Here is a 19928-nt window from a genome sequence, read left to right on the forward strand (position 1 = left end):
TGGTATGCTTCCAACTATATGACAGTTTGGAAAAGGCCAGAGTATGGAGACAGCAAAAAAGATCGGTGTTTGCCAGGGCTTGGCGGGAGGGAGGGATAAACAGGCACAGCATAGGCGATTTTCAAGGCAGGAAACTATTCTGTTTGACACTATAATGGTGGGTACCTGGTCATACACATTTGTCCAAACCCACAGAATGTACAACATTATAAGAGAACCTAAGTAAACTATTGTCTCTGAATGACGATGACACGTCAATGCAAGTTCATCAATTGTAACAAATGGACCCTCTGGTGTGAGAGGTCAGTCGTGGGGGACATTGTACATGTGTTGGGGCAGGAGGTATATGAGGACTCTCTGTATTTTCCACTCAGTTTGGCTGTGAACCTAAAACTGTTCTAAAAAGTAAAATCTATTTTTAAAGAAATTACCTCCGTTCCCCTTCTCTGCATTATTTTTTCTACAGCATTTATAATACTATGATGATATATATATATAACATATATATGTATATTACAGTATTACAGGTTGAGTATCCCTAGTCCAAAAATCTGAAATCTGAAAAGCTCCGAAATTCAAAACTTTTTGCATGCCTACATGACACCACAAGTGGAAATTTCCACACTTTACCTCATGTAATGGGTTGCAGTCAAAACGCAATCAAAACTTTGTTTTATGCACAAAATTATTAAAAACAGTATATAAAGTTTACCTTCAGGCCCATTAAGATGCATATGAAACATAGATTAATTTCATGTTTAGACCTGGGGCCCATCTCCAAGATATCTCATTATGTATATGCAAATATTCCAAAATCATGGCCGGGTGCGGTGGCTCACACCTGTAAACCCAGCACTTTGGGAGGCTGAGGCAGGTGGATCACCTGAGGTCAGGAGTTCAACACCAGCCTGGGCAACATGGCGAAACCCCGTCTCTACTAAAAATACAAAAATTAGCCGGATGTGGTGGTGCACCTCTGTAATCCCAGCTACTCGGGAGGCTGAGGCAGGAGAATCTCTTCAACCCAGGAGGCGGAGGTTGCAGTGAGCCAAGATTACATCACTGCACTCCAGCCTGGGTGACAGTGAGACTCCGACACACACACACACACACACACTATATATACATATATATATACATACACACACACACACACACTATATATACATATATATACACACACACACTATATATACATATATATATACACACACACACACACACATACATACACACACACTATATATATATTTTGGAATATATATATATATATATATTCCAAAATCTGAAAAAATCTGAAATCTGAAACACTTCCGGTCCCAAACATTTTGATAAGGAATACTTAACATGTGTTGACTTGTTTTGGTTTTGTCTCACTCTCCTTATTAGAATTGTTTAAGTTATACAAGGGCAGGGTTTTTTCCTCCTCTTTTGTTCATGGCAATGCTCCCAGACTCTAAAGGGCACCCTGTCAAAAAATATGGCTCATGGAATGTTTATCTAAGAAATTAGCGCTAAGGCTTACCATCAGATAAATGTCCTGTACTGCTTCTTCTGTCCTAGAGAATATGTTTTTGCAATGAATTTATGGAGACGACGTCTTTCACCCAAACCAGCATTTCCAAAGGTACGAATATCAGCCAGGGTAGCCAAGCTGGGCTGCATTAGAGCTGGGTGTTGCGGAGAGGAGTGGAGATCACTCTCTAGAAGGAGGATCACAAAGCCTCCCATGGATCACTTAGTGTAAAATAATAGTAATAATATCCAAGGGCATTTATTACTTTTTTTTTTTTTTAAGCAGAGTCTTGCTCTGTCACCCAGGCTGGAGTACAGTGGTGCAATCTCGACTCACTACAACCTCCACCTCCCAGGTTCAAGCAATTCTCCTGCCTCAGCCTCCTGAGTAGCTGGGACTATAGGCACGTGCCACCACACCAGGCTAATTTTTGTATTTTTAGTAGAGCCTGGGTCTTGCCGTGCTGGCCAGGCTGGTCTCGAACTCCTGACCTCAGGTGATCCAATTTATTACATTTTTACATTTCTACGGCTTGCTTTTTGGTGTTATATGATGGGGGCATTGGAAGCTTTCCAATTAAAATATGTTCTGTCCCCAGGATTTTCTCATTCACTAGAATTCAGCCAATAACTCAAGTTAGGTCAACACCCTCACTACCTGCTCTGCAGTGCTCCAGTCCTAAAGCCAGAGGATATCTGTCTTGTATGACAGTAATAAACAACCAAAAGTAGCTCCGTGATGTGAAGAACTAAGAAAGGCTGAGGTAAGACTGCTGGCCTGCAGTGGTCTGAGACGCAGAACCTGGCCTAGAGATGACCAGCCTTGGAATCAAAGCCCCTTATCTTGGAGAGAGATGCAAGGGCATCCTTGGGGTTTCGTTGCAGCCTATTCCCAATCGTGGGAAGGGGAGTTGGGCTGGGACTTTTCTTCCACACCAAAAAGAAAATCAGGCAAGTGACGCACATCGCAAGAGCCGAGCAGTGGGTGCCAGCAACCCCATTTCACCCCTGGTGTTAGCAACCATCTGGGTCACCAGTCAGAAAGCAAAAGCTTGCAGAGGAGCAGCCCAGCTGGCTACCCTGGCTGATATTCGTACCTTTGGAAATGCTGCTTGGGGGAAAGATATTATCTCCCTAAATTCATTGCAAAAACATATTCTCTAGGACAGAAGCAGCAGCACAGGACATTCATCTGGAACCAGTCTGTCCCTGCTGGACAAAGGCTGCTCTGGGTTCTTGGACTTGGAAAAAAAATGGAAAGAGGTTTTGAGTTTGTTGACTTTGCTGAAGCTTGAGATTAAGAAGGGTTCATCCTTCCCTACCTCTTATTCAGAAAATCTGCAACTTTTCTCTGAATTTCTAAGCATCCCCATTATATGTACTTTTTCTTTTTCAGCATTGATGATTCATTACATATAAAACTTCATTTTATTTTTCATAGCTTTCTGAAACTGTTCAAATAATTAACTTCACAAATTATAAAAAACAGGTCATATATTCTGAGATCTGATTTGGAAAAACACAGCTGTCAAAGTCATCCTCCTCAAACATCATTTTTCTCATTTCTCTCATCAGTTAGAAGTCTCCTGTGTTCTTGACAGTGAATTGAGGTATTCGAAAAAAAAGTCCACGTGTCCATCCACAGATGAATGGATAAATACAATGTAGTTACATGTACGATGGAATATTATTCACCCTTAAGGAGGGATGATATTCTAATACATGCTATCCATGGATGAACCTTGAAAACACTATTCTAAGTGAAATATGCCAGACAAAAAAGGACAAATATTGTATGATTCTGCTTATATGAGGTATCTTCAATAGGCAAATTCACAGAGACAGAAAGTAGAATAGAGGTAGGTTACTAGGGGCTGGGAGGAGGAGGAAGGCAGGGAGCTATTGTTTAATAGTCGCAAGAGTTTCTGTTTGGGATGTTGAAAAAATTCTGAAAATTGATAAAAGTGATGGTATTTATTGCCACTAACTTGTACAATTTAAACATGGTTGAAATGGTAAATTTTTTGTTGTTTACATTTTGCCACAATAAAGACAAAGAAAACCTCTACTAACTTGGTAGTTGAAAAATGTTAACTCATTTTTATTTGCATTTAAAATAATGCTGTTATTGATTTATTCTTTGATTTTTAATAATAGCAAATTCTCCAAGATCCTGAGATTTATTCTTTGAAATAAATCTTCCTATTAATGTCTCATGGTCTATACCTTATTTCATAGGGAATTAAATTGTTACTGTAATACATCTTTTAAAAAATCTAAAAAGAAAATCCACTATGGTTTTCCTACTACTTATTGTAGCAAACATGGAAAATCTCTGCAGCACTAAAATTCTTAAATGGTTTCAACTCTGATATTTTTCTCTTATTTCAGAGCCATCCCTCTGTATTTCCCACAGCAGACTATTTACTTCCATTAAGCAAACTTGCTGATTAGCCTGCATTCACGTATCCACTAGTACAAGGACCAGGAGGATTTTTATGTAAAGGGTTTTAGGGCCCATGAGGATGGGGCCAGGGCTGAGGTTGGGCTTGTGCATGGAGAAAAACCAAAGTAGAGAGAATCAGCTGGGGGACCTCACATATATTTGTCTTCCTTTTGGTACCGTCTGTGAAACCAGCATCCACTGGTGTTTTTGCTGTTTCTGCGAGTATACACTTGCAGACATTTCAGGGAAGTAAATTATTGACTTTGAAATACTGTGAAAAGTTAGAACTTCAATGTTGATTTGGATGTGGAAAGCAGGTGAATAAATAGAGGGAACTGGTAAACACGTTGGGTAAAGGGTACTTTGACAATGACAGAATCATGTCCGTCTTCTGCTTAAAACTCTTGAAAGGTTTTTTTTTCTCCCCCACATCTTCTTTCCTTTTATTGAAAAACATTTTAGAAAATGTCAGTTAATAAAAAGTAGCAATGAATCAACAGGGATATACTAGTGGAAAACACAATATAAAACTAAAAATGCCATTGGCTTCTTCAATTGATTAAGAGCACAAAATGTAACAGACAGAAGGTCTGTTTTAAACCAATTTTCTAAAGCGATGTATTTTTAAAATTCTCCCCATCAGCTATGTACACACTCACAAAAACAATGTGTGAAGGAAACCTGTCATACACAAGAAGTTGTATCCTGAATTCTTCAGGGAAACACATGTTGAAATAGGAATTAAAAAGAGTCAGCAACAGGTTAATTATATATATGTGCGTATATATATATACACACACATACACACACACACACATATATATACATATATATATTTTTTCTTTTTTTATTTTTTTGAGATGGAGTCTCGCTCTGTCACCCAGGCTGGAGTGCAGTGGTGTGATCTCGGCTGTGAAACCTCTGCCTCCCGGGTTCAAGCGATTCTCCTGCCTCAGCCTCCCAAGTAGCTTGGATTACAGGCACCTGCCACCACACCCGGCTAATTTTTGTATTTTTAGTAGAGACGGGGTTTCACCATGTTGGCCAGGCTGGTCTCGAACTCCTGACCTCATGATCTGCCCACCTCGGCCTCCCAAAGTGCTGGGATTACAGGCATGAGCCACCACGCCTGGCCTAATAATATTTTTAAATTGAGTCTTCAAGCACTGCGTGGCACAAAGCTATACTATATAAAGTACTGCTAGGTTCAAAAGAAAAAATCTGTACCGCTTTTAGCAAAAGTGCTTTTCCAGAAAAGCAAATCAAAACAATGTAATCAGCAGACCAAGGAGGTTACAGCCAGACATCAGGGCTACACCTTCTCATATCTTGCTAGAAGATCCTATTTATCCAGAATAAAATTTCAGGACAAAACAGGGACATTTTAAACATTTCTTACTTTACGCATTTAAAATTTTCTATATTTTCAGCATGATCCAGCAGAAAGAGGGCTGCTGTGAGAACTGGCTATTTTATTTTCTTTCTGTGGTGAGACTGTCATGGAGCCTGGATATTTTAGGCTCTTATGCATCCCTGACCAGTGTCCCACCGTGGTCAAAAAACTTAGCAATGAACTTGGTGAACTTGGCTTCCCGCAGCTGCCTTCTTCTCCCATTGATGAAGGCCAGCTGCCAAATATCAGGATCCACTCCTGCAGGATCCTTCCTGTGGGCCACAAGAAAGACGCTCTTCTTATGTGAGCTATATAAATGGTCATGACTGGGCACCTGGCTCACGCCTGTAATCCCAGCACTTTGGGAGGCCAAGGCGGGCAGATCACTTGAGGCCAGGAGTTCGAGACCAGCCTGGCCAACATGGCAAAACCCCGTCTCTACTAAAAACACAAAAATCAGCCAGGCTTGGTGACATGTGCCTATAATCCCAGCTACTTGGGAGACTGAGGCACAAGAATCACTTGAACCCAGGAGACACAGGTTGCAGTGAGCCAAGATTGTGGCACTGTACTCCAGCCTGGGTGGTACAGCGAGACTCTGACTCAAAACATAAAAAAATAAATAAATGGTCAGAATCCCCATCATCACAAAATAGGATAGGATGTACATGGCCAAAACGGGCTTGGACTCGGCAAAGGGGTGCACAGAATCCCAAATCAAAGCTACTATGGTAAGGAAACAGGAGTGCAATCAGATAGTGAGGCAAATGTCAATGAGACCAAAATTCTCCCCCTACGGGTATTTTTCCAGAAGTACCTTTCTGGCAGAATCATCCAGAGTTTTTCATAGCGGATCCATCCCACTTGTCAGTTTTTCCATGCTTCTCATCCGTCTTCCACTTAGCCAACAAGCCACTGAGGCTACTGCCTGTCGCGCAGCTGAGACCACCGCTGGCCCCACTACTGCCTCCGCCACCACCACTTCTCCTGCCCTGGGCAGCTGCCGCCATCTTGTCGCAAAAAGCTTTCTTTGAAAGGTTTGTTTCCAACCTTTGGGAAAAGCCACCAATGGGTAATAAGACTTAGAAGGCCCACCATGCTCTACCTTGCCCTTCCCCTCTTCTCACACCCACCTCTTCAGCCTCCTGTTTTGGTGCTCTCATTCTCACTAATAATGTTGCACCTATATTGAATATTTTTTTACCATTTCTGGAAGGTTCTTGAACTGAGGTCTTCACACTATTACTCAATCCTTTAAAAAAAAACAGCTTGAGATATAATTCATATGCCATGTAATTTATAATTTAAAGTATACAGTTCAGTAGTTTTTATTTTTTATTTTTTAAATTTTTATTTTTTGAGATGGAGTCTTGCTCTCTCACCCAGGCTGGAGTGCAGTGGCACGATCTTGGCTCACTGCAACCTCCGTCTCCTGGGTTCAAGTGATTCTCCTGCCTCAGCCTCCTCCAGTAGCTGGGATTACAGGCGGAGGCCACCAGGCCCAGCTACTTTTTTTTGTATTTTTAGTAGAGACAGGATTTCACCATGTTGGCTGGGCTAGTCTCAAACTCCTGACCTCAAATGATCTGCCCACCTCGGCCTCCCAAAGTGCTGGGATAACAGGCGTGAGCCACCGTGCCCAGCCTCAATAGTTTTTAGTATATGCAGAATTATGCAACTACCACCAAAATCAAATTTTAAAATCTCTTCATTACCCCAAGAAGAAACGCCGTGCCCATTAGCAGCTACTCAATTCCCTCTCCTCCCAGCCTCAGGCAACCACCAGTCTTTTCGTCCATAGGGATGTGTCTATGATGAACATTTAATGTAACTAGAACCTGGCTTCTTCCTCTTAGCCTAATGTTTTCAAGGCTTATTCGTGTTGTAGCATGCATCAGTACTTCATTCCTTTTTTATAGAATATTCCATTGCATGGATAGACCACATCTGATTTATCCATTCATCAGGTGATGGACACTCTGGGGTTGTGTCCACCTTCTGGCTACTATGCATAATGCTGCTATAGAGCGCAAGTCTTCGTGTGGACATGTTCCCATTCTTTTGGGTAGATACCCAGAAGTGAGATTGCTGGATCGTATGTTAACTCTGTTTAACATTTTGAGAAACTGTAAAATGTTTTCTAAGGCAGTGCCCTCATTTTACATTCCTACCAGCAAATTATGCAGATTCCAATTGCTTCACTTCCTTGCCCACACTAGTTACTGCCTTTCTTATTATAGCCATCCTAGTGGGTGTGAAGTGGCTATCTTGTTGCATTCCTCTAATGACTAAAGATGTCGACCATCTTTCTCATTTTTTTTTTTTTTTTTGAGACGGAGTCTTGCTCTGTCGCCCAGGCTGGAGTGCGGTGGCGCGATCTCGGCTCACTGCAAGCTCCGCCTCCTGGGTTCACGCCATTCTCCTGCCTCAGCCTCCCAAGTAGCTGGGACTACAGGTGCCCGCCACCACGCCGGGCTAATTTTTTGTATTTTTAGTAGAGACGGGGTTTCACCGTGTTAGCCAGGATGGCCTCGATCTTCTGACCTCGTGATCCGCCAGCCTCGGCCTCCCAAAGTGCTGGGATTACAGGCTTGAGCCACTGCGCCCGGCCCTTTTTCATGTTTTTATTGGCCATTTGTATACCTTGTCTGAAGAAATGTCTGTTGAGATCCTTTGCCCATTTTAAAATTGGGTTGTCTTTTTATTGAGTTGTTATTCCCCGATCTTTAACTGGCGGATGCTCTTTTTCATTCTTTATCTTCTCCCTCTTTTTTGAGACCCTCCTAGCACTGCATTCCTCCCACTTTGATAAGTCTCTCAAGTGCTTTGGTTACGGTCTACTTTCCCACCAGACTGTTCTTTTTTTTTTTGAGATGGAGTCTCACTCTGTCCCCCAGGCTGGAGTGCAGTGGCGTGATCTCAGCTCACTGCAACCTCTGCCTCCTGGCTTCAAGTGATTCTCCTGCCTCAGCCTACCAAGTAGCTGGGACTACAGGCACATGCCACCACACCCGGCTAATTTTTGTATTTTTAGTAGAGATGGGGTTTCACCATATTGGCCAGGCTGGTCTCGAACTCCTGACCTTGTGATCCGCCTGCCTCTGCCTCCGAAAGTGCTGGGATTACAGGCGTGAGCCACCACGCCCAGCCCAAGACTGTTGATTCTAAGAGAGCAGAGACTATGTCTGTCTGACTCACTGTTGTTCATTACTGGCCCATTACTTTATACATTTTAGGTTTCCTGGCACATATCAGGTACTCAACAAACATCTGTCGAATTGTATTTAATGTGATTTTCACAGTTTCTCTTGTGTCAGGAGGGTTGCTGTCTCCATTGAAAAGGTTTTTTTGGGTCACCTCCTCTCTAACCATTTGTGGTCCTGTCTCCTACCAGTTGGGGGTTGTCCCAGAGGCTATTAATTCTTGTGCTCGAGTTGAGCATATGTTTGGACTGACTGCAGCCTCCATAGCGTTGGAGGATCCCTAGGGTGAAAAGCAGTAAGTGCAGCTCATGTGTGAGGTGAGATGCAGTCAGAGGAAAGTGAATTGATGCCTCATGGAACTGTCTACCATGGCCACAGCTGGAGTTAGAGGTGGGGTGGAGTGGAATTGCGATAGGGCGCCAGAGGCATCAGACACACCCAGTTTGTCAGAACCTGCCTTAGGTGTCTGAAATCCAGTTACAGTTATTGTGCCTATTAGGATGCACACCCTGACAGACTTGCATATGGAGAAAACCAATGCAATTTTGTTTTGAACAAATTGCCTTTCTACCCCTGCATCAACCACTTATGGAATGTGCTGTCCCCAGGAAGGGGATGTGATCTTGGCCCGGGGCAGGGGTCTTTAGCCGAGGAAAATTTCTGCAGAGCGACTCTGCTAAAAGCTGTCACCATGAACACTCCCAGCAACCAGGAGAATGAGTGATTAACATCTGCAAACAGGATCTGGGTGTTGTGCCATCAGCCCTGCACTGTTCACCTCCACTTGCTTTGTAACCCAAATAAGGGGAGCTGCTCCCCCAGGCTCCAAAGGGCTGATCTTTCTGGAATCAGCTGTCATACCGCTCAGCTTACTAAGAGCACCTCTGCCAAGTCCTGCAGAGGGCAGAGAAGTCACCCATAAGTCACCACTTCACACATGAACCATCTCATTATCCCTTTTCCTGACCTCGACTGCAGGGCTTACAAATCTCTATAAACATCCTCTAAAATCTCCCCTCAATTTAGAGCTTTCATCACCCTAAACCTAATGGCTTCAAAGGCAAATATAAAGGGCTGTGGTAAACTTGGATCTGGAATATGACAGGTTCAAATCCTTACTTTGCCACTCATATTCATGGGATCTTGAGTAATGTAATCTCTCTAGATCTCAGCTATGAAATGAAGTAATAGTAGAGCCTCATAAGGTTTGCAGTGGACAGCCTCTCATGCCTCCTGGCACTGCATTTTGAAATGCAATAGCAAGTGCTTCTCCCACTGCCTGGAACACACTCCACCATCACCACTGCTCTCTTCAGCTGGCTGTCTGCCTCCTGTCCATCCTTAAAAATTTGGCTCAGATCAGACATTGCTTCCTAGAAACCAAAAGGCTGGGCTGATCTTTACTGGTGCCCCACAGCACCCAGTGAACACCCTGCTTACTTACCACACTATCACACTTGCCTACTTACTTGCTGTATTGCCCCATCCTACACACACACACAAGGCTATATGGCTTTTTGTTGCCTCAGCAACTAGCCTACAGTAGATACTCAATAAATATTTATAGGAAGAAAGAAAGGAGACTATTTTTTGTGTGTATTTTTAGTAGAAACAGAGTTTCACCATGTTAGCCAGGCTGGTCTCAAACTCCTGACCTCAGTTGATCTGCCCGCCTTAGCCTTCCAAAATGCTGGGATTACAGGTGTGAGCCACCGAGCCCCACTGGAAGAAGACATTTTTTAAAATTAAAAAAAAAAAAAGTAGAAAAATTGATTGAAAGAAATAAGAAAAATTGGAAAGACAGGTACTAATTCAGAAGAAATATGGTAAGGGAAACAAGTAAAACGTCATTCTGCATTACAGTCTATGTCAAAATAGACACTAGGAGTGAGCAATGAATTAACAGTAAATTTTTTGTTTTTTTTTGTTTGTTTGTTTTGAGACAGAGTCTTGCTCTGTCGCCCAGCCTGGAGTGCAGTGGCTCGATCTCAGCTCACTACAACCTCCACCTCCCAGGTTCAAGTGATTCTCCTGCCTCAGCCTCCTGAGTAGCTGGGGATTATAGGCACGTGCCACCACACCCAGCTAATTTTTGTATTTTTAGTAGAGATGAGGTTTCACCATGTTGATCAGGCTGGTCTTGAGCTCCTGACCTCATGATCTGACCGCCTCAGCCTCCCAAAGTGCTGGGATTACAGGCATGAACCACTGCACCCGGCCCAGTAAATTCATTTTAAGTGCTCATACCAGGGCAGAGACCAGGAGAAAGATGAGAAGCTGGCCCAGCTTGTTGGGATGCTCCTGGAGGGCTGTGGTTGGGGTTTAACATCCAGCTAGCTTAGCTCATAGCTGGTGAAGACATTAATCTACGTGTTCTATTATGCAATTGCAGGTAGCAGGCACTGTGCTCACTCTCTCCACTATGGGAACTTATAGCTACTCAGAGACAGACACATATATTGACTCCTGTAGACAACTGACTCCTGTAGACAAGGTGAACTAATGCATCCCAGCAATTACCACGTGCGAATCTCTACACTAGATGCAACAACATATCCTCCTGAATCCACTGAAGAGTCACCCTGCAAGGATGAGTAATCAGGTTCAGAGATGTTAGGTAACTTCCCATGGTTACACATAAAGTCCTGACATGGACACTGTAGGCTCACTTCTAAGTTTTTTCCATGACTCACTTGCCTGATTTACCTGCATGTCATATTCAACTTTTTGTTCTTTCATGCAACAAAGCCATCTCATATGGGCCAGATGCCATCTTAGGCATTAGCAACAGAAACAATCCCCAGGGAACAGCACAGCCACAGCCCCCGCCCCCGCCCTCAGAGAGATTAGCATTTGTGAAAACAGACATTGAGCACATAATGAGACATGAAGTGTGCATGATGTGTGACGGGGGGGAAATACAGGATGCTAACCCAGGCCAAGCAGTTCAAAGTGAACTGAAGCTTTTACATCTGAAGAAGTGATGAAGACTCAGGAGTTGGCTGAGGAAAGTCAGCACTACGAGGGAAGGAAAGTGAACCAGGCAGATGGAACAACGTATGAGAAGGGACAGACAGAAGGTGCATTCAGGGACCTTAGAGAAGGGTGGCTGGAGAGGACAGCAGGGGCCAGATCACGAACTTCGTGTGTACACATTTGAGACTTAATCCTAAAGCGATTAGAAGCCACGGCTTCTAATTCACAAATTCTTTTGCCACAGAAGAGGCAGAAATCACTTCATTTTAATACCTACCAATAACCTATAGGATGGTCAGTTCAAATTATTCTCAGGTCCACAGCAACTGACCTAGGATACTATGGGGTTGATCCCATAAGAACAGGAGGAAAGAGCTGCTTTCCCCACAACTCCCATTACCACTCCCTGCTGGCCCAAGATCACCAGGAAATTGATCCCAGGAGGAAATACAGAACGTTTGGGAAGAGCAGGTCCAACTCTGGCTCTTGGGCCGCTAACATCTTAATAGTCAAGTTGGTTATATTGTGCCATTACATTACCAGTTATAATTTACACAAATTGTCCTTCTCTGGCTTGGTCTGTCTCCTCCCCTCCTCAGTGCAGAAGTACTTTTGCTCTCAGGGACGGATCCCAGTGGCCTGATGCTCCATCCTCCCTCCTTGCCCCTCTGCCACAGGCCCTGTCCCACAAAGGATTAGAAGAACACCCCTTGTTAAATTCCAGGAGTCAGCAAAGAGTGGACACCTTGTTTTAAACATTCTTATACCAGGTAGGCAGTATTCTGGCAAGAGTATAACAAAAGCCTCTACAGTTAAGTTAAACCCGCAAATAAACTGGCTCCCTAGTTGAAATGTGCAAGACAGCCTTAGGAGCATGTTAAGATGACAGAAAAATGAAGACGTGGGAAAAAAAAACACAAATCACTGATAGTAAAATAATTTTATTTAGTTTCTTATTTTAAAAAAGGTAGCATTTCAACATATAAATTTAGACTCAAGATTACAGTGTATATTTGCCAAAAGGAACACCCCGAAAGACGGCCAGCCTCAGAGCTGAGAGGGCACAGGGAGGCACACTCCTCACACATGGGAGTTTAAGCAGAAGTGCTTTAAGACTTCACAGCGGCATTTCCCTGTTCCTCAGCCCCGCCTCCAGGGCCATCACTTTGGGGCAACAGCTTTTGCTCATGTAACTATAAAACATCTCTAGGAATGAAAGCACAGAGGTCAATGATCCAGATTTTCCACAACAATCATCTGCAGCAACAATTCGACAGGTAAAGATTTTATTTTTATAATTCAAAAGTTCTTTTAAGGAGAACTAAAGAACACAAAATTCATTTATAAAGAGAATTTATAGAATTAAATGAGCAAAAATGAAAAATTATTTTCTCCATATTACAAATGCCTCTATAGGATAAGGCCCAGGGGAAAGACCCATTCAAATCTGGGCTTTCCTTTCCCAAATAAAGTGTTTGGCACAACCAACAAACTGTCATGAGACTGACAGGCCTGACAGCTGAAAGATTTCTAGAAGTGGTCCCATGACTTTTTTGTTGAGCTTCAACATAGCGTACACAAGAGTTGTCTTAACAAGCTGCACAAACTCAGGCCGAACTACGCAGCACACTGCTCCAGAAAAGTTAAACTGAAGGAAAAAAAGGGTCCACATGAAGTAGGTCTCCTAATGCCACAGGTTAACTCTGTTGTTTCTCATGGAAAATTAAATTCACTGGCTGCCCAGGACGTCAGTGGAATCCTGATCTCCTGGGGGAGGTGACAGCTGGAGAAACAACTTGGATTTAAGCATCTCTGGGCCAGGTGGGAAGGAGACAATGATGACCAAGGATGCTTTCTAGGTGACTTTTTGTTCCACACTATGTGGGCTCCAGATAAACAATCTTAAGGAGCATCAGTGTGCTTGTGACCATGGCAGCCCTAGGACTTGGGCCTTTAGACAGAGGTGATGGGGCAAATGAATATACCCCAGATCCAGTTTTAAAAATAAAAACTTCCTGTAATTATGATACAATACTGTGCAGCAAGTCACTAGGAATTGCATGCTGCTCCTATTTGTGGTTAAAACCCTGTCCCACTCTTGGCCAGAGCTGAAAGGTAACATACAAGGAGGTGGCTGTGGCTAAAACCAGGTACCTTAGTCAAGCATGGCCTGCGGCAGTGATGCTGACAGTCATCAACCCAATGCAGGGAATGCAAGGCCCCAGAGCTTTGGCTCAGAGCAAAGGTTTCATCTCACCCCAACTTCAAACCAAGCCCTCTGTATCTCTGAGTTTATGAATACAAGAAACTAGTGATTAGGAATCTCTATGAGGAATCTGGTTGGGTAGCAAAGCTCAGGTCCCTGCAGGCCACCACCCTGACTGCAGGAAAACAGAAAGGTGCAAATCGTATCAAGTAAAAGGTTGCTCAAGTGGAAGATCATTTCCTGGGGAACTTCAGCGGCCTGGATCTTAATCACATGGATGAAGGCTGGGACTGGATCCCAAAGAAAGGGCCTGGGTCCCAGGTGCAATCAGTCTTCTTGAACTTACCATCTCCTTCTCAGTCATCTCTTGAATGGTGGCTGAGCATACATTTCCCCGGGGGACGAATGTAAACATTATTCAACAGATCTCAGCTTAGGAAAACACAGCTTGTTATATATTTAGTGTTTAACATTCCAGTGCAGGCAGTATCTTAGCATCAGACTTTCCTCATTCATGAGTAGCAGTTTAGAAAGGAATACATATAGGATACTTGATAAGACTGTGGCTGAAAAGACCATTTGTGTGTCAGACAGCTGGCTCTATCCTCCAATCAGTGGAGCACCCAGGACTATCGCAGGAGAGGTGGAACAGATGAAGTGTAAGTTCTCTGTAAATCTGAAGAGTCCGTATAATGATTGTTCCCACTTAACCCCTTGGGCCACATCTTGATATGGAGAACATTTCCACCTCTTGCATCAACCTGTGCTCTCTTTGTTTTGGATGACGTTCTCTCCAGAGGGTTCAAGAGCCTCCTTAGAGGGGAGTGAGCTTTCTCTTCCAGTCCTAATATCTGAATATTTCAAAGCACATGAGGAGTCCACGAACATGTTAGGGATGTTGCTGCCAAAATAGATCTTACTGTTAGAAGCAATGGCCTGGTACTTTTTGAGCTCCAGATATTCCGGGGTCAACTTGTGCTGTGTGGGAGCAAACAAGAGCAAAGGCATCAGAATACTCTGGTGCAACAGTCTTCTCTCTCCCTATATACATTTCACCTATTGCTCTCCTGAGTATCATGAGTCAAGTCTGAATAACTGCCAATGACCCTCTCTCACTTTGGAGAGTGGCTATCACATTAACAGCTGCGTTCCTGACTTAAAATTCCTTCATTAAGCTCCTGACTTAATGCAAGAGAAGCTGTTCACTTTTTAATAAAAGGATGGGGGAGTTGGAAAACAATTTGTGATAACTAATGATAATAACTAATATTTCTAAAGTGACTTTCATTTCATCTAGTTGAATTCAACCTGGAATTGGTCTGGAGTTTCTGTTGATTCTCTTTTCTAAAAAAATTATTTTTATTTTTGTAGAGATGGGGTCTATGTTGCCAGGCTGGTCTCAAACTCCTGGCCTCAAGCAATCCTCCTACCTTGGCCTCCCAAAGTGTCGGAATCAAAGATGTGAGCCACTGCACCCAGCCTTTTTTTTTTCTGGAGATGAGATCTCACTCTGTTGCCCAGGCTGGAATACAGTGGTTCAATTATAGCTCGCTGCTGCAGCCTCAAACTTCTGGGCTCAAGAGATACTCTCATCTTAGCCTCCAGGGAGGCTACAGGAATGAGCCATCATGCCTGGTTCTCTGTTGATTCTCTTGAGAGAGATACACAGGTCAGTGGATGAGAGCAGAACTTCAAAGGAAGGGCTGGTGCTCATTATCTTATCATTAGCTGTGATTCTGCTTTTCTTGAACAAATTCTAGAACTAGAATAAAATCTCAAGTTGTCACCTGATCTGGCCTTCTGCCTTTCCCCAGAAGCTGGATGTTTAAGCTGCTTGTGACAGACAGATGTTTGTCGACCACCAGATCTATGTGACAGTGTTTTGTTTAAATCAGGATGCCAAGATGTATCTAACCAGAACCTATCTGGGTTTGATTAAAACTCGTCGACCACCAGATCTCCCTCTGTCACACTGTTTTGTTTTGTCTAAATCAGGATGCCAAGATGTATCTAACCAGAATCTATCTGGATTTGATTAAAACCCATTTCCACTGTTCCCTGTAACATATGCCTTTCAAAGCCCCTCAGACCCTGCTCTGTGATCCTCTCCTTATCTTGAGTCCTGGCCTGTCCCCCAGGCAAAAGTCCATCTTGTCCTTCACAGTCCTACAGCATTTATTTTCTACACTTTGACATCTTTCACTCTTTGGATCTCTATCTTCTCCAGGTGATTCATATCCTCTGTCGAAACACTCCAATCAAATCTGGTCATAGTGCACAACCACATTTCTTCCTCAAGCCTTTTTAATATAGGTTAGTATCTGAGTCACATTTTTCAAAATGGCATAAAACTACTGCCCCTTTCTGAATAAGGTAGACCTCAATGGCAAGGTCTTGAAACTTGTGCCTGACGAGCTTCTCCCATTAGATTTGGACTCCTAGTTTCCTCAACTGGAGTTTCCTGTCATGCCTTTCTTTTGGCCAAATTCCATTCTGTGTCTATAGAACTGTGTCTTTCAATGTTATGTTCATTTTAAAATTTATATTGGTTTTCAAAGTACTGACAACTCTCATTCTATCATCTTATCATTTCTTCTAAATACGGATTATGTTGTTCCTTTCTAAATTAAAAGCCCTGTCTATATCTTAAAACTTGACTCTAATCCTTCAAACTGCATCATCCACTTTAGTAATCTCTTTCTCAACCCTTTATCTGTTCCAATCTGCTCCACGATAACCTTATAAATCTTGGACATACCCTTCCCTTCTCAGAATACTATCGGAGTTCTAGCTGCCTCTTAAATAGCCCCTGCTCACTAGCCCTGTACCGTCTAGCCAGCTTACCCCAGTCCTTACACCAAATTATCACCTATATATCACCCAACCTGCCTTCTCAAGTTATCCCACATGAAATTCCTCATGACTGGAATAGTTTTTTAAATCCAATAAACAAGGAGTACTCAACAAGGGGCATATGGAAATACATGCATGTGTGTGTGGCAGTTAAAACAACTGGTGACCACTACTGACATTCAGTAGACAAGGGCCAGGGATACAAAATATCCTACAATGCATGAGATGGTCTTCAACAATGAAAAAGTATCTCAACCCCAAATGCCAGGAATGCCTTTGATGAGAAATACTGCTCTAATCAAGCTAAGTATCTACCAAAAAAACTACCTTATTTGGAAAGCAATTCTAAATAGACTTTACTCTTCTGTCACTCTTATTTCAGAAGACCTTCAACTTAATTAATTATTCAGCCTTATATAGCAGTACAAATGAATGGAATTACGGCATTTGGCCTGTGTCCCTACCCAATCAATGTGAAATATTTCTTGCTAACTGACTAATTCTGGAGGATGTCTTGGTCACTACACTTTCTTGACAATGGATAAAATCACTTCTATCATATCAGAGCTCCTGAAAAGAGAAAGCAAAACCCCGAAATGCATCATTAGGAAAGTGGCCAGGGAGCCAGTCACCTTGTTTGAGGTGGCATATTTGTGTGCAGCATAATATTCAGCATCTGCTTTCGCTTTCTCTCGGGCCAGGAATGCAGCATCTAGCAAATAAACAAAGGAAAGGTGTCAATCCATTCCCTCAGCTAGTTAAGAGTCCCTTTCCCCACTGCTTAATATTGTGACTGCTTATTTCACATTGAAAGTTTTAAAAACCTATTAGCAGTTTTCAAGTCCCAGTCCCCAAACAGCAACTTCTCTACGAGGAATACTCTTTTCACTGTCAAATAACTCTCAGCTCATCTGAGCCTACTTGTTTTCTACTCTAAGTTGTTCCTTCTCTCCTCCACCCACTCTCCCACCTCCTATCACCCAGAGCCTTACATTCCACCCAGGTACTAAGCTTCAAGTAAAATAAGTCCAGACATAAAAGCTCTATTTACTGCATTGTCTCCAGCCCCCCCCCAAATTTCATCCAGAATCAGTCAACAGAGACAGACAGGAAGCAGCAATATATAACAAGTGACTTCAAGACCGAGCTAAGAACATCAACATCTCACTATGTGAAATCAAGTAGTGTGAGGCCCTCCATGAAAACTGTTTTTCCCCCCAATTAATTTTGTTTTTTTTTTGGACAGGTGGAAAAGAAACTGGTCGTGATGGGGTTTATTTATTTTTAATTTTTTTTTTATTTTTTGAGACGGAGTCTCGCTCTGTCGCCCAGGCTGGAGTGCAGTGGCGGGATCTCGGCTCACTGCAAGCTCCGCCTCCCAGGTTCACGCCATTCTCCTGCCTCAGCCTCCCAAGTAGCTGGGACTACAGGCGCCCGCCACCACGCCCGGCTAATTTTTTGTATTTTTAGTAGAGACGGGGTTTCACCGTTTTAGCCGGGATGGTCTCGATCTCCTGACCTTGTGATCCGCCCGCCTCGGCCTCCCAAAGTGCTGGGATTACAGGCGTGAGCCACGGCGCCCGGCCAGAGATGGGGTTTATTATCTTGTATATTCTTTACTATTGATTATGGGTAATTTTCATACCTTGTCTGCCTGAAAATAAAGTGGTAGCTAATAAGCCCCAATTTAAGGAAGAAAAGGAAAGCTGAGCTACCCACAGTCACAAACAAACCCAAAAGCTGGAAATGTGATAGCAATTTAAAAAAATTTATTTAGACTATCAGGCCAGCTATTTCCTCCAGACCAGATTATTCTGTCTATGGCCTTCTCACCCACCACAATCAAAGGCCTGAACCCTGGAGCAGAGAGGAGGCAGTTCGGGACAGGCAGAGCTTCATCCTCTCCCCACAATGTACCTTCGATTTCAGAAATGCGCTTTTCAGTTTCTTTTTCCATCACTTTCTGCTGAAACCGAATTTTTGCCACTTGTGCAATCTTCTCTGCTTCTATAATCATACAACATAAGAAGACACATTCAAAACCATTTCTACAGTACCTGAGGCACTTCGAACCAGCAGCACACAGTCTAACATTTAATTACAGAAAGTTTTATGTGCTAATTGTTTCACTAAGTTTTATCTAGTCAGACTGTAAACTACTCAAAGGAAAAAAGGGAATTTATTTCCTAATTTACTGTTCTATTTTGACAGTGCTAGTTTTGTGGGAAGAAGGAGTAAAAAAAGGTTAAAGTGCCAGTCCTTCATGCAACTCTGTAGCAACGGTCCACAAGCTAATGGGAAAAAAAGATACTTTATGAAAGTACCACAGAACAAAAACAGAGCAACATAAATGCATGGCAACACAGGACAATTAATGTGGCAGGAGAAAGAAAGAATGAGTGACATAAGTTAAACCAAGGAAGACCTTCTGGAAGTAATCTTAAAGGAAATAATGGATATGACCTAAGAAGACATGCCAGGAAGCACAGAGAAAGACAAGAAGGGCCAGTCATGGTGATTCACGCCTGTAACCCCAGCACTTTGGGAGGCTGAGGCAGGAGGATCTCTTAAGCCCAAGAGTTCAAGACCAGCTTAAGCAACACAGTGAGACCTCCATCTCTAGAAAAAATTTATAAAATTAGCCAAGCATGATGGTGCGTGCCTATAGTCCCAGCTACACAGGAGGCTGAGGCAAGAGGATCTCTTGAGCCTGGGAGGTCAAGGCTACAGTGAGCCATGATCATGCCACTGCACTCCAGCCAGCGTGACAGAGTGAGGCCCTGCCTCAAAAACAAAAACAAAAACAAAAAAAAGAAAGACAAGAAGGCACAAATGAACAAGTCACAATGGAGAGGTGATATGGAACCAGCCAACAAGCGAAGACAACATAAAATAAGAAGAGAAAGAGGGCTAGGAGACCTCTGTCTTGAGTGACAGGCTAAGGAGCTTAGTTTTACTATACTCAGGATCTACTGTTAAGTTACCATTAGGGAAATGACAGGATGAAAATGGTATCAGAAGAGGAGTATTCCAACTGCTGTAGGGAAATAAAGCAGAAAGCAGGGTGATTCATTTGAGAAGGTGAAAACAAGCATTGGGAGTGAACATGTTGGTGTGGCAAGCAAGTACATGCAGAGGAAACTCAACACCCTTAATAAACCTCTGGCCTACCCAAATGACCCAGGACAAGGAAGAAAGACTTGAATTACACTTTACATTCAATCACTGCTATTCTTAAAGAACATTCTCAATTCTCCTTTTCAGTCAAAGAAGATGGGTATTTTAGGACATCTTATCTCTGACCCCTAGAAAAAGTACATAATGGAAAGAAAACTT

At 42.9% G+C, this 19928-nt stretch overlaps 1 protein-coding gene and 2 pseudogenes across 14 annotated transcripts in view, besides 3 other annotated features; all 3 read right to left on the reverse strand.

Moving 5' to 3' along the window:
* Positions 1–2516, reverse strand: part of CYP2C23P (cytochrome P450 family 2 subfamily C member 23, pseudogene) — a 34398-nt pseudogene extending 31882 nt beyond the window's left edge.
* On the reverse strand, positions 5977–6370 carry SPCS2P2 (signal peptidase complex subunit 2 pseudogene 2; annotated as a pseudogene).
* Positions 10540–11739: an enhancer, noted in NCBI's record as "P300/CBP strongly-dependent group 1 enhancer chr10:101907932-101909131 (GRCh37/hg19 assembly coordinates)". NCBI's record gives its function as "activates an origin of replication core promoter dependent on BRD2, BRD4, P300/CBP, MED14 and CDK7 cofactors, with strong dependence on P300/CBP, by STARR-seq in HCT116 cells {active_cell/tissue: HCT116}" and the evidence as "EXISTENCE:reporter gene assay evidence [ECO:0000049][PMID:35650434]".
* Positions 11619–11708: an enhancer, noted in NCBI's record as "active region_3880". NCBI's record gives its function as "activates an Ori minimal core promoter by ATAC-STARR-seq in GM12878 lymphoblastoid cells {active_cell/tissue: GM12878}" and the evidence as "EXISTENCE:reporter gene assay evidence [ECO:0000049][PMID:35858748]".
* ERLIN1 (ER lipid raft associated 1) overlaps positions 12459–19928 on the reverse strand; it is a 35936-nt gene continuing 28466 nt past the window's right edge. For all 14 annotated transcript variants that reach the window (NR_144755.2, NR_144757.2, NR_144756.2 and 11 more), the window contains 3 exons: positions 18510–18599; positions 17225–17304; positions 12459–14717 (listed from right to left, as the gene is read on the reverse strand). Coding sequence is in view for 8 of the 14 variants with exons in the window: in NM_001347857.2 (NP_001334786.1) it covers positions 14496–14717; positions 17225–17304; positions 18510–18599 (392 nt within the window). In the remaining 6 variants the exon portion in view is untranslated. The remainder of the gene's footprint in view (positions 14718–17224; positions 17305–18509; positions 18600–19928) is intronic.
* Positions 18618–18667: an enhancer, noted in NCBI's record as "active region_3881". NCBI's record gives its function as "activates an Ori minimal core promoter by ATAC-STARR-seq in GM12878 lymphoblastoid cells {active_cell/tissue: GM12878}" and the evidence as "EXISTENCE:reporter gene assay evidence [ECO:0000049][PMID:35858748]".

The sequence above is a fragment of the Homo sapiens genome, chromosome 10 (assembly GCF_000001405.40).
Source record: "Homo sapiens chromosome 10, GRCh38.p14 Primary Assembly".
NCBI lineage: Eukaryota > Metazoa > Chordata > Mammalia > Primates > Hominidae > Homo > Homo sapiens.